This window comes from Homo sapiens, chromosome 15 (genome assembly GCF_000001405.40).
Source record: "Homo sapiens chromosome 15, GRCh38.p14 Primary Assembly".
NCBI classification, from domain to species: domain Eukaryota; kingdom Metazoa; phylum Chordata; class Mammalia; order Primates; family Hominidae; genus Homo; species Homo sapiens.
Genome location: NC_000015.10, coordinates 21,899,929 through 21,915,242, shown reverse-complemented (window position 1 = coordinate 21,915,242; position 15,314 = coordinate 21,899,929). Strand labels below are relative to the sequence as shown.

General features: G+C 35.5%; 3 pseudogenes; all 3 read left to right on the top strand.

Moving 5' to 3' along the window:
• Positions 2,202–3,723, top strand: ZNF519P3 (zinc finger protein 519 pseudogene 3; annotated as a pseudogene).
• VN1R63P (vomeronasal 1 receptor 63 pseudogene) lies at positions 10,301–11,156 on the top strand (annotated as a pseudogene).
• VN1R62P (vomeronasal 1 receptor 62 pseudogene) lies at positions 13,648–14,146 on the top strand (annotated as a pseudogene).

The window sequence follows — 15,314 nt, the reverse complement described above, 5'->3', positions numbered from 1 at the left end:
TTTTGTATCCATTTAGCCACTCTGTGTCTTTTGATTGGAGAATTTAGTCCATTTACATTCAGTGTTGTTATTGATTATATAAAGACTTACTCTTGCCATTTTGTTCTTTGTTTTCTGGTCTTGCTATCAGCAGCAAGAGGGAACCTGAAAGTAGGTAGCCATCTGTGAGGCTGAGTCTGGGATTTTTATGGGTTTAAAACAGGAGAATGCATGCTGATTGGTTCATGGGTGGGCTTGGAAAAGACACCATTCAATTGGTTAAAAGGCATCATTCTCAAAGAACCAATAGAGAGCAGGTTAGACAGGGATGGAAGTTCTCACTCTAGTCCATGAATTCTTTCTGGAACTGGTAGCTCAGTTTTCAGGCTTTTTAGACTGTTGTTTCCTTGAAGGTCGAGTTTCACCAGTGCACCCATCCCTGTCTGCCTAGGAGTTTGTCTTCTGTTGCTATCAGTAGGACTGCAGTGGGTCAGACCTGAAACCAGCACAGCACTTGATCACACCCATGGTGAGCTGTAACCCTACCTGGTACCACCAGTAATTGCTCAAGGTCTTGGGGCTTTATAATCTGTAGGTGGTAAGCCAGCCAGGTTTGTATCCTTTCCTTCAGAGTAGTGAGTCCCCTCAGGTTCTGGGCAAGCCCAGTGGTGCCATCCAGGAGCCAGGGGCTGGAGTCAATAACCTTAGGAGTCTACTTTGTGTTCTATTGTACTGTGGTAGAGCTAGCAATTAAACCATGAAATTCGGTTCTTCCCATTTTTCCCTCCTTACTCAACAGGCAGAGGGGCCTCATCCTATTGCTGCCATCACCACAGGCCCATCGGGAATACTGCCAGGCTTCCACCAATGTTCTCTTAAGGTTCAAGGCTCTTTAGTTCACTTATAGTGAATGATGCTTGGCCTGGTACTCATCCTTTTGGTCAGTGGTGTCCCTTCTGTCCCAGTACAGGTCCAGAAGTGCCATCCAAGTGCCAAGACCTGGAATAAGGGACCCCAAGAGCCCACTGGTGCTCTTCCTCTCTTTGGCCATGCTGGGACCTAAGTTGCAAGATGAAGTTCTCTAGTTTTTCCTCTACCTTTTTCAGTGTCTCCCTGTAGCCACCACAGTTGTGAATGTGCCGAGTCTCACCTGATTCTAGCAAGCCTCAGAGTCTCAATGAAAGCTCACAGCAAACTACCTGGTTATCACTGCAGGTTATTCCAGGCCAAGGGCCCTTTACTTAGCAGTTGATGGGTCTTGTTAGTACCGGATTTCTTCATTCAAGGCAGCAGATTTCCTTATAGTCCAGTATGTACCTAGAAATTTTAATTAGGAGCTAGTGGCTGAGAAGGGTGTTTTATAACTCTGACTGGTGGCCTTGCTGGTATCCAAAATACAAGACAAAGTCCTGTTTACTCTTTCTGTCTTCTTAAGTAGATGGAAGTGGTCTCTTGAATCTGTGAGCTGTGCAGCCTCAGTTTGGAGGAGGGGTGGTATAAGAACTCTCTTAGCTGCCCCAGCTTGTATCTTAGTAGGTAATGTGGCCCCCAAGTCCACTGGCTCTAAGCCCAGTTCAGCATGACACCTGGGAGTTGCTGTCCTTGTGACCTAGACTGTTTTAAGTTTCTTTAGGGCCCCAGAGCATTTTAGACTATGGTGGTGAAGCTTGCCAGAACTCAAGTTCCAATCACTGGGAGGGTGATTCCCCTCTGTCCAGGGCCAGTTGAAACACACCCTCTGTGGGCAGGCATCAGCTGAGTTCATTCCAGTTTTGCTTTCTGCTATGATGGGGCAGCACTGAGTTCAATGCTCACAATCCCAGTGCTCTCCCTCTCCCAAGTGTACAGATTCTGTCTACATAGCATGTGACTACTGCCAGGGCATGAGTGAGGAGTGGCATTAGTGATTCAAGACTGTCTTTCCTACCCTGTTTTAGTGCCTCTTTGTGTACTGCAGGGTTAAAACCAGGTACTGTGAGTGCTCGCCTTTATTCTTATGAACGTTTTTGTTTGTTTTTTAATAGATAGTTGTTATATTGGTGTCCTTCCAGGGGAAATGATCACTGGAGCCTTCTATTTAGCCATCTTGCTCTGTCCTCTGTTGGTTTTCTACTATGGCATTGTGCTCATGTTCTCAGCTTGGTAAAATTTCATATTAGATTTGTAAAGTATATTCAGCTAAATTCAGTATGTAGAATAATTAGTTATTTTTACTACTTTGAGCTATATATTCTTATTACAACCAAGGCATTTTACCAGAGCAAGGCATAGAAGAGTCATTCAAAAAAGCAACACTAGGAAAAGCAACACTGGGAAGATATGGGAGCTGTGGCCTTGAAAATTTATGCTTATGGAAAAACTGGGAAAGTATAGGTGAAGGACAAAAAGAATGTTATAATTTATGTAGCCAATATTTGACAACTTCTCATAACAAAAATTTAACTGTGAAAGGAGATGAAGAACATAGAATATTTCTGAAGAAGCCTCAGTTTCTGCCAGCTACTCCTACAGAACCGTGTATTCCTGTGAGTAAATATCAACATCAATTTTTGGAATCTGTCTTTTGTAATAAAAATCAGATAAATTTTAGCCATGACTCAAATATTAGTAAACATCAGAATACTCATTTTGTAGAAAACTATTACAAATGTAATGAATGTGAGAAAGTGTTTTATCAATCCTCAAAGTATCCATATTCAAGAAAAGCCTTACAACCCTAATGAATGTGGTGAAACTTCTGACCCATCCTCAAAACTTACTCAACATCGAAGAACTTATATTGGAGAGAGCTCACAAAGATGTAATAAAAAATGTATAATAGTCTTTAGTCAGTCACATCTGAAGAGACATAAGATAATTAACACTGGAGAGAAATCAGTAAAATGTAAAGAACGTGGCAAAGCTTTTACCAGGGGCTTACAACTTGGACATCAGAAAATTCATACTGGAGAGAAACCTTACAAATGTGAAAAATGTGACAAAGCCTTTAAGAAGAGCTCACACCTTGCTCAACATCAGAGAATCCATACTGGAAAGAAACCTATCAAGTGTAAGGACTGTGGCAAAGCTTTTAACAGAGGCTCGTACCTTACTTAACATCAGATAATCCATACTGGAGAGAAAGCCTTCAAATGTAAAGAATGTGGCAAAGCCTTTAATAGAAGCTCATACATTACTCAGCATCAGAGAATTCACACTGGAGGGAAACCTTTCAAGTGTCAAAAAATGTGGCAAAGCTTTTAACAGAGCTTCACACCTTACTCAACATCAGAGAATACATACTGGAGAGAAACACTTCACACATAAAGAATGTGGCAAAGCCTTTAACAGGGGCTCACACCTTACTCGACATCAGAGAATCCACACTGGAGAGAAGTCTTTCAAATGTAAAGAATGCAGCAAAGCTTTTATCTAGGGCTCACACCTTACTCAACATCAGAGAATCTACACTGGAGAGAAATTCTTCAAATGTAAAGAATGTGGCAAAGCTTTTACCAGGAGCTCACACCTTTCTCAATATCAGAGAATTCATACTGGAAAGAAACCTTTCAAATGTGAAGAATGTGGCAAAGCTTTTAACAGACACTCAACCCATACTCAACATCAAATAATTCATACCAGATAGAAACTCTTCAAGTGTAAAGAATGTGCCAAAACCCTAAACTGGTGCTCACACCTTACTCAACAATTCTATCTTTTATACAATAAATTACGGTTAACTATAGTTGTCCTATTGTGTTACGAAACACTAGATCTTATTTCTTCTATTTTTCTTAATGTTTAATTAAAATATTATTTCAGGCTGGACATGGTGGCTGATGCCTGTAATCCCAGCACTTTGGGTCAGTGAGGGAGGATCACTTGAGCTCAGTACATTGAGTCTGCCCTCAGCTATGATTACGCCACAGCACTTGAGCTGAGGACAGAATGAGACCCTGTCCTTAGAAAAAAATAGGCTGGGTGTGGTGGCTCACACCTGTAATCCCAGCACTTTGGGAGGCCTAGGCAGGAGAATCTCATGAGCGCAGGAGTTTGAGACAAGCCCATGCAACATAATGAGACCCCATCTATACACAAAATTTAAAAATTAGTTGGGCATGGTGGTGTGCAGCTGTGGTCCCAGATACTTGGTAGCCTGAGGTGGGAAGACTACTTGAGCCTAGGAGGTAGAATCTGCAGTAAGCCATGATCATGTTACTTCACTCCAGCCATGGTGATAGAATAAGATCTGTCTCAAAGAAACCAAAAAAATAAAATATTTGCTTATTTTTTGAAAAAAATGCACAACATTGAGAAATATGGAAGTTATTTTAAAAGTTTTTTATTCTCTTCTAAATGCATTTTCTAAAATATACAAAAAATTAGTAAAAAAAAAAATGACATAACTGACCTCACATGCATTAAGTGAAATAAACCAGACACAAAACATAATACAGTGTATCATCCCATTTATACAAAATAGTAATCATACCACAATAATAAAGAGGTAATAAAAATGGACCAGGCATGGTGGCTCACACGTTTAATTCTAGCACTTTGGGAGGCTGAGGCAGGTGGATTGCCTGAGGTTAGGAGTTCGAGAGCAGCCTGGCCAACATGGTGAAACCATGTCTCTACTAAAAACAAAATTAGCCAGGTGCAGTGGTGGGCGCCTGTAATCCCAGGTACTCAGGAAGCTGAGTCAGGAGAATCTATTGAACCCGCGAGGCAGGCAGAGGTTGCAGTGAGCTGAGATCGCACCACTGCACTCAAGCCTGCATGACAGAGACTCCATCTCAAAAACGAAACCAAACCAAACAATAAAGGTGATAAAATGGAATGTCCATAAAAGGGAAATCAGTAATGATTGTCTAGTCCTGATAGTGGAAATATTTTAAAGTTATACCATGGCTATAGTTGCATAATTATAAATATACCAGAAACTTTGTATTGAGTATGATGTTATGCATATTTCATCATAACTTTTTTTTAAAAAATAAGCATGCCATAAAATAGCAAGGTGGTTAAATTGCTTGCTTGAAAACAATGTGAAAATGAAATCAATTTTTGCTCATTTCAAGGTTTTTGATTAGGTGTTTCTGAATTTGTCCGTTAGGTCTAGTTGGTATATTAAAGTCAGCAGTTCACATTGAGAATTTTCTACTTCTACCATTCTGCCATTTGTGCTTCATATATTGGGGTCTTTGTTAGGTACATGCATATTTAAAACTATTTTATCTTCTTGATAGATTTATAATTTTTTAACATAAAATTTCCTATGTCAATTAATTATAGCAATGTTGTCTTAATGCCTATCTTGTCTAAGGGTAACCACCCCAGCTTATTTTGCTTACTATTTGTGTGGAATCTTTTTACCCATCCTTTCACTTTCAACCCATTTGTGAGTTTAGGACTAAAGAGATTCTCCTATAGATAACATAAAGTTAGTTCAGGTTTTTGTTTATTTTTAAACCATCTGCCAATCTTTGCATTGTAATTGTAGATGTTAATTTCTATTTAAACTATTTATAAGGAAGGGCACACTTCTGCCATTTTTCTAGTTGTTTTCTAAAGTCTTGTATATTTTTGTTAATTAACTCTTATATTACTGACATCTTTAATGTTCTAGTATTTTTCCAAAACAGTTTTGATTCTCTTCTCATTTCCTCTTTCACTTCTTTCTTTAGTTGTATTTTTAGTGGCTACCTTAAGGATGACAATTAATCTCATCACTGTGTAACTGTACTTTAAATTAATACCGCTCATAATTCAGTTTTATTTTAAAAGCTGTTTCAATAGAGATCTGCTCCTCCAATGTTATGTTGTTTTGTCACATATTACATCTTTATGCATTGTATGACATTAACAAAAATTTATAATTATTTTATGCATTAGTATTTTAAATTACATGTAAAAAAGAACAATAGATAAAAGTTACAAAATATTCTTTAATAGTGGCATTTATATTTTGCCATGTACTCATTTTTACTGGCATTCTTTATTTTTTCATATGGCCTTGCATTATTACCTAGTTTGTCATTTCATTTCAACCCAAAAGATAACCTTTGTCATTTAATGCATACCAGGTCTACTAGTGACAAGCTGTTAAATTTGTTTTAATCTATATAGCTCTTAGTGTCTTCAAAGGTCTTCAAGGATGTCCTTCATCTTTGAAGAGCAGTTTTGCTGAAAATAGAGTTCTTTGTTGGCTTTTTTTTTTTTTGTTTCTACACTTTAAATATATTGTCCTATCATATTCTGGACTCCGTAGTTTTTAGTGAGAAATTATATTCTGGACTCTAGTTTTTAGTGAGTTGTTAATGTCAGTGTAGATGCATTGCAAATAGTAGTCTTTTCTCCATAACTTTCTTCAAAGTTGTCTCTTTAGCTTTTGAAAGTTTTATTGTAATTTGTCTTGGTGTAGAGTTCTTTGAGTTTATACTATGAATTCAATGAGATTTTGGAATGTGTAGATTCACGTATTTCATCATGCTTGGGAACTTTTTAGCCATTATTTCTTCAGATGTTCTTTCTGCCCCATTTTATCTTTCTCCCTTCTTTCGGGAGTTTTCATAATGCTTGTAATGGCACATTTTATAGTATCCCATTGTTATCTTAGACTCTGTTCATCTTTATTCATTATTTTTTATTTCTGCTAGTTGGGATAATACGAATTGAAGTGACCTCAAGCTTGCTGGTTGTGTCTTTCGTCTACTTAAATCTTTTGTTGAACCTTTGTGGTGAATTTTTTATTTTAGTTATCTTAATTTTCAACTTTAGAGTTTGGCTTCAGTTTATAATCTCTATCTCTATTAATATTTTCTATTTGATGAGACACTATTCTTCTGAAATGTTTTTCCTTTTGATGTTATTTATCTTTGCAGCACATTTAAGACAGGTAATTTAAAGACTTTTTCTAGATTTTTCAATGCCTACGATTCCTCTAGGACTGTTTCTGTTAATATCTGTTATCTTATTAGTGGGCCATTATTTTTTCATTAATTTATTTGCACGCTTTGTATTTCATTGCTGTTGCTGAAAACTAGACTTTTTCTATCACAACAACCCTGAAATAATATTCTCTCTCATCCCGTTGGGTTTTTTTGTTGCTTATTGTAAATTTTACTTGTTTGTTTGGTGAGTTTTCAAAATTATTTTTAAAATATCATCCTTTTGTCGTGTTTAGCAATAAAAATCTCTGCTTTATTAGCTTCATGTGAGCTAGTTATTTGACAGAGATTTTCTCAAATGCCTGCTCACATCAAATATAAATCTACTAGTTCTTGCAGTTGGGTTTACTTAGCCAGAAAGATTACAACTTTGCTGTTTTCTTTTCTTCCTGCTTGTGCAGTGTTTGGAGGTAAAGCAGACATGAGAGATAACAGCTTCGTAGGTCTTTGTGAGCATTTGCCTGTCCCTTGATTGACCCTGAACATGCTTATGGGCTTCTGGATTCTCAGGAATATGTGGATAATTTTCAAAGCCCGAATCCCCCAGGCACCTCACTCCTCAGTCTTTTCTCTTAGATATTCTACATGACTTTTGCTTGCCGCACTGATATTCTTTCTCCAAGGTGTGATGAGTAGTTAATTAGCCCTTAACTATTTTTGCCAAACATTAGGTTATTAATTTAGAATTGTTTATTTTTAATGTAGGTGTTTACTGCTGTGAATTTCTCTCAAAAGTTTGCTGCATCCCATGTTTTGATGTTTTTTTGAGACAAGTTCACACTCTGACACCCAGGAATGAGTGCAGTGGTTTGATCAGGGGTCTCAGAAGCCTTGACCGTGTAGGCTCAAGTGAACTTGCTGCCTCAGCCTCACAAGTAGCCAGAGCTACAGGCAGGTGGTACAATGCCTGGCTAATTTTTGAAATTTTTTTGTGAAGATGGGTTCTCATTATGTTGCCCAGGCAGGTCTCAAACTCTTGGGCTCAGTCCTCCCACTGCTGCCTCCTAAAATGCTTAAATTACAGGCATAAGTCACAGCACTCAGCCTTTATAAAACCTTTGATATTTTTTCTTTTATTCTGTTTTCCCATGTTTGTAACATGTTGTCCCAAATTATACAATAGTTCTATGGTAGTTGTGGCAGATTTGTGACATAAAATAGAGAAAACATAAGTTACATTTAAATTTGGGGTAAACAACAAATAACTTTTTAGTATAGCTATGCAATGTTTTTATATCTGTGTATAATATGTGTAAGCAATTACTGGAGTATATACAAATAACAATTCATCATTTACCTGAAATTCAAATATAACCAAGTGTGTTACATTTGTCAACCCTTGTTCATGGGAGCCACTGTTCTTTTCTCCAGACTCAGCATTAATGACCTGAAAACCTTCATTAGAGAAAAATAAAGTTTGATAATTAGCAGATACATTCTTTTGCGGTATGTAGTAGTCATTAGAGAGGGTGTGGCATGAATTAAAGTGTGTGATCTGGATACCTTATGGGGAGAAAAAATAGAATTCTTACGTATGTTGTTTTATCTAATTGTATTACCTCTTTCTGTGATATAACTTTTAATACATACAGTATATTTAGTAAAAGTGATTTCTACATAAGTAGTAAGTAGTTATTTGTATATTAATTGTCCATGTTTATTTTCTGGAACTAGACTGCAGTATTTAATATATGGAGATTATTATGGCTTTAATCTGATACTATCCTGGAGCTTCTTTTAGGTTTAACATGACAAAAGAACCATATCATGTTGATGGCATCAGTATATTTTGGTGGCAACTATCCATTGTTTGGTTCTGGACATTGAGATAAATGTGTACTTATACTAGATTATGTGTTAGGAGAAAAAATAAAAACTGATATATAAACTATGCAATTTCCTTTTTGTAAACTCATCCATATCAGGTGGTTTAAAATTGGTTAGCAGTTTTCTAACTCAGATGTTAATTTCTGAGTATGAGGTAAAAAATACTGTCAAATCATCTTCATTGCCTTGCACATTTATATTTGTGGTTTGTGCATTAGTACCATCACAACTCACTGGCTCACTATAGCCTCAAGATCCTATGCTCAAGTGATCCTTCCATGTCAGCTTCCCATGTAACTGGGACCACAGGTACGTGCCACCATGCCTAGCTAATTTCTTTCTTATTTTTGATAGACACAGGGTATCACTGTGTTGCTCAAGCTAATTTCAAACTGTTTATCTGAAGCAATGTCCCTGCCTCAGCCTCTCAAAGCGGTGGAATTATAGGCATGAGCCAGAGCTCTATTATTCTAAGCTGCGGGCTGAATTAGTTGGATACAATAGTGATGACTGTATTCAGGGCAAAGAAGAAAGTAATTGCAGAATTATTCAATAAAATTTTATGAAGGGTTCTCATACAGAGATATCATGATTAAGAGATGGAGAATTATCTTTACTATTAGTGACCTTGGTGTTTTTCCAAGGCTTGGAAAGGCATCTTTCCATGGAAGGGTATCTTCCATGGAAGGGTATCTCTGTATAAAGTGAAGCATCAAGAAAATTATCACTTAATGCAAATTCATGGATCCCATAAAGTAGAAAAAGGTAGTCCATGTACTTGTAGCATTGAAAACTGGATTTTAGCAATTTCCTCCTGAGATGAAATAAAGCTTTCATGAGATTTCTCTGGGATAAAAACAAAACTTGAACAGAGCCAGAATTATTTTAAGGGATTCGTTTAATAGGACTTGTGGTAAGTGGAATAATGCCATGCAAAGGTCCCCATGTCTAACCACCAGGTTCTAGGCATGTATTATGGTATATGAGAAATGGGAATTCAGGCTGCAGATGAAATCAAGGTTGATAACCAGCTGACTCTAAAACAAAAACATTAACTTGAATTACAGATTTGGGCCTAATGTAATTATAAGCATTCTTAAAAGTGAAAGAAATAATAAGAGAAACTGAGTACTGTGATGTGAGTCAGTTAAACTTTTTTTTCAACTTTTTCTTTAGGTGATTATTTTCCCTTAACATAAAATTTACTTTAGCTCAACTATACAAACATGTGAGTTATTGTTATGTAACCATCACTCTTCATTAAGAAATGCTTTGTAAAAAGTGAGCCAGTTTTTCATATACATTCTTCAAAATACATTCTCAACATTATACATCAAATTATATATACATACATGCACACATACACTATATATATCAAGGATTTATATGATAGGATTAATTAAGAAAAAAATTAGTGGAATAAAAATAATGTTTATGATAATTTTGGCCATAGAATATATAATACAGATGATGTGAAGTACAAAATGTTTTTTATACTTCATATTTTGATGTACAAAGTATGTTTGTCTTTGTAATTCAGATGATTACTTTGCACTTGTGTTCCCATGAAAAATGCCTTTCATTTCTAAGCTGGTATTGGCATCTCAGCCAACACTTTTCTCCTTCTTTTCTGCGTCTTCTCCTTTTCTGCTTTTTCTGGATCTCAGGCCAGAGCGCACTTACCTACCAGTCTGTCATGTGGCCCTCATCCACATGGTGGTCCTTCTCACCATGGTGTTCTTGTCTCCACAGCTCTTTGAATCACTGAATTTTCAGAATGACTTCAAATATGAGGCATCTTTCTACCTGAGGAGGGTGATCAGGGTCCTCTCCATTTGTACCACCTGCCTCCTGGGCATGCTGCAGGTCGTCAACATCAGCCCCAGCATTTCCTGGTTGGTGAGGTTTAAATGGAAATCCACAATTTTTACCTTCCATTTGTTCTCATGGTCTCTCAGTTTTCCTGTTAGTAGTAGCCTGATCTTTTACACTGTGGCTTCTTCCAATGTGACCCAGATCAATTTGCATGTCAGTAAATACTGTTCACTTTTCCCAATAAACTCCATAATCAGAGGACTGTTTTTCACTCTGTCATTATTCAGAGATGTTTTTCTTAAACAGATAATGCTGTTCTCAAGTGTCTACATGATGACTCTCATTCAGGAACTACAGGAGATCCTGGTACCTTCACAGCCCCAGCCTCTACCTAAGGATCTTTGCAGAGGCAGGAGCCATCAGCACATCCTGCTGCCGGTGAGTTTCTCGGTGGGCATGTACAAGATGGACTTCATCATCTCAACCTCCTCAACGTTGCCATGGGCATATGACCGTGGTGTCTAGAGGCTAGTGGGCAGTGTCTATACCATTGTCAGGTTTTTGGTGCTACTGAGATCTGATAAAAGGGTAATCAATGTGATGTAAACTATAAGACAAATGTTTAAAAGGTTAATTGTATGAATCCTGTCATGAGTTAAATTATTCAGAGTGTTCATTATAGAGAATAATCCAAAGTTAAAATAATTGGATAATTTATTTGTATGTAGGATAAAAGTAGTAGGAGATTGCTTCTTGAAGATTTAAAATTATATTGAGTGTAATTATTTGCATTAAAATAATTTTAAATGTTTTGAATAGCAAGTATTGATATAATTAAACTTTCGAATAACTTAGTGCTTTGCCTTTATTCCTAATGTTTATATGGAAGCATGTGGTCAATGTTTGATGCATTACAGCTCTGAGCGGTCCTTCTGTATTAGGTGGTCATCATTTATATACTTCTCCATAAAAGATTAAGGACCTGGAAATGTAAGATACATGAAGAAAATCTAAGTGGAGAGGCTGTTTGTGGTTAAGTGATAACAGTGTTGTAAGCGATGCATGAGGTAGGTGTTCAGTGCATATCCTCTGCATTTTATTAATAAACACTGTAAAATTTAGAAGAAAATTGTTTCACCAAATGCACATAAAACTAATAAAATAGAGTGGATTTTGATATGTCTCAGATTATTTGTAAACTTTATTTGTTTTAACAAATAAAAAATATTTTTAATATGTTAAGGGTCTTGTGCATTGATTGAAGTGTCATCCTGCTGTCAACATTAACTTATTCTACCTTACTCAGGCTTGTAGGTAAAACATGGTAAGACTATACCATTAAGTAATATGGTGGAATAACATCTGTAGTGATTCTTTTTCCCAGTGGCCTTATACTTCAAATAATTTAGAGAATATTGTTCCCACGTGTTACATTTTTATTTATTTTGTAACTGTGAAGTTATTGTGATGGTTATACTGAAGATTATATAGGAGTATAATCAAAAGCCCTACATTTCTGAATTCTGAATAACTATTTAGAAAATTCAGCCTACATTTTTTTGAACATGTTATCTCTGGTTCTACAAACACAAAATTTTAGTTTTAATTTACATGGTGTAAAATTTCTAAATATATTACTCTAAAGATAAACTTCAGATATAAAAGAATTGGAGAAGTAATTGTTTTTATGTGAGTGTGGACCTATTCTGAGTAGGAAAATATATCAGAACAAAGCAGATGATTTCATGAGTGTTTATGATATACTAGCAAACTAAAACCTCACAGATTCTGAAAGCAAATTTATTTCCTCTGCTTTCCATTCATCTCTAAAATCTTGTGGTTCAGAATCTCCCCATCCAAACCCTTTGTTCTAGCTTGCCTTCTATTCATGCTAGACCTAATATACAATTTTCTTCTTTCAAAGTTCATGAAGTATTCTTTATGTGACCTGCCTAATGATTATAGCTCTTTCGGTAAAATGTAATGGTGCTAACTAAATAATTTGAAGATCTGAGTAATTTTGCAGTGAGTATATTGTTAAATTTTATTATTTAATTAGTATATTTAATCTTTTCAATTAGAGAATTCTATTTAAGCAAAATGTTTTTATTACTGTTTCTTTCATGTTTTATAGTAGACATATTTGATATAATTATTGAATTTATTGAGCCATGCTTTTAAGGTAAAAACTCGGGAGGCTTCATAAGCCATGGGATTTTCTTGCCATTTGTATGAAGTAAACAAACACAAGACGGTGCTAGGTGTGTAACAAATGCTTTACAATTATCAGGAAATATTTCTGCTCGAGTGAGTTTGTATCTTCATATAAGAGATTAAAAACACCCAGAGTGAAGAAGTGGCATTGGTTTTGCATGGTGAGAGAGGAAATCTGTAGTCAGGCTGCACAACTAACTCTAAATTTAGACAGATAAATTCTGCTTCTTTTATTTTCTAATTATCTTCAGTTTTTCTTTCACTGTCTTTTTATCTTCACCCCCAAATACATATGCATTACAGCCCTTCTCTTTCTTTGCCTGTCTTATGGCAACATCTTGCTCACTGTTCTCCCCACCCCATGTTATTTCACACAGTACTCTGCAGGTTCTGAGGACAAGTTAGAATTATTTTTAATGTGCCTAAAAATTCTTTGTAGCTGGAGAATTTGAGGTCATTTATAGATTACAAATGCAACATTCTTGTCACTTAATTTAGATAAGATAACGCAGTATCCATGGATTAGATCGTTGGACAGATAGCATTGTTAAACATTATTATATTATAACACAAAGAATGGTAAATATCAAATTAGACTAAGTGAAGTATTAATACCAGTGGGCCATGTATTATTAGTGCTACATAAGAAAACAAATCAAAATTTGGATATCCCATTAGAGACATGTCTTAGAAATAAAATTGTATTAAGGAGAGTTAGTGGTAAGTAAAATATTTTAAATTCAAATTTCTATGAAATATTTATCCCACCGCTTATGTTTCCATGCAGAATCTTCTGTTGTTGAGTGGGTATAATAAGTTTTGGACAAAAATAAAATAATCTTTGTGGGTTTAAAATTTGGAATAATCTTTTTTGCGGATTCGTATTGCCATCTTGGGAAATTTCTCACTCATATTATTATAACTTCTTTTATTTGAATGGGCACAGTTACAGTCCACAGTTTTTATTCTCAGACACCTAATTACAGCCAAATTCTAGGTCGTTCTCTTTAGAGAAATCTCAAAGACAATGGCAGGCTTTTGGATTAAAACATTTTCTCAGTGATTTTGGAAGCAAACTTGTTTTCAGTGTTTACAGAAGGGCCAGAGGCGAAACCATTAGCAGCACCTGCCTTTTTAGTGTCTTCTATACCAGGAATTCCAGGTACCTGGAGCTCAAAGTAAAAGCTCTAAAGTACATAGGATTCTCCCAGGCACTGTGCTGGTTCTTGCACATGCTGGTAAATATCTGAGTTTCTATGCTTATGACTGACAAATGAAATGACAAAAACATCACAAAAACTATATATTTTGATACTACTCTGCTAAGCTTATGAATAAGACACAGACTGATTATTTGAAACACTACCTTTTCATGTTTCTACATTTTTTAAATTGACAGATAAAATTATATGTATTGTCATGTAAAATGTGGTTTAAAGCATGCATACATTGTGTAATATTAAATTCTGGCTAATTAACAAGTGCTTTACCTCATATAGTTATCATTTTTGTGATGGAGAACACTTAACATTGACTATATCAGTATTTTTAAAACATAACAGTATGTCATCATTAACTATAGTCACCAGGCTTTACAACAGATTTTTTTAACTTATTCCTTTAATCTAACTAATTATATATTCTTTGAAAGACATCTACCCAATCCCCTTCCAAAATATCTTAGCCTCTCGTTCCACTATTTTAGTCTCTACTTCAATGCGATCAATTTTTTAAAATTCCACATATGAGCAAAATCATGAGGTATTTGTCTTTCTGTGTCTGGATTATTTCAATTAACATAATCTCCTTCATGTTCATCCATGTAATTGAAAATGACAGTATTTTCTATTTTAAGGCTGAATAATAATCCATTCGTACAGAATGGATGTATGCCACATGTTCTTTATCATTTTATTTGATAATAAACCCTGAGTTTGATTTTATATCTTGGCTATTGTGAATAGTGCTGCAATAAACATAACAGCACAGATGTCTCTTTCACATACTTGATTTTTTTCATATGTGCCCAATAATGATATTGCTGTATCATATGATAGTTCAGCTTTTAATGTTTGAGAAATCTCCATACTGTTTTGTATAATGGCTACGCTGATTTACATTCAGTGCGCAAGCATTCCCTTTGCTCCACATCTTTGCCAATAATTATTTTTTTGGCTTTTTATTAATAGTCATTCTAACAGTAGTGAGTTGTTATCTAATAGAGGTTTAGATTAGTCCTAACCTTAGATTAGCCTTAACCTTAGATTAGCCTTATGATAATTTACCTCGCATTTTTTTCATATATTTTTTACCATTTGTATGTCTTCCTTTAAGAAATGTTTATTTACATCTTTCACCCATTTTAATAGTTACTTGTTTATTGTTCTATAGTTGTTTGAGTTTCCTGTCTATTTTGGATAGTAACCCTTTGTCAGATATATAACTCATAAATATTTTCTCTTATTTATACGTTATTTTTCTTCTGTTGGTTGTACCTAGTGCTGTGTAGAAGCTTTTCAGTTTTCAAGTAATCTCATTTGTCTACTTCCA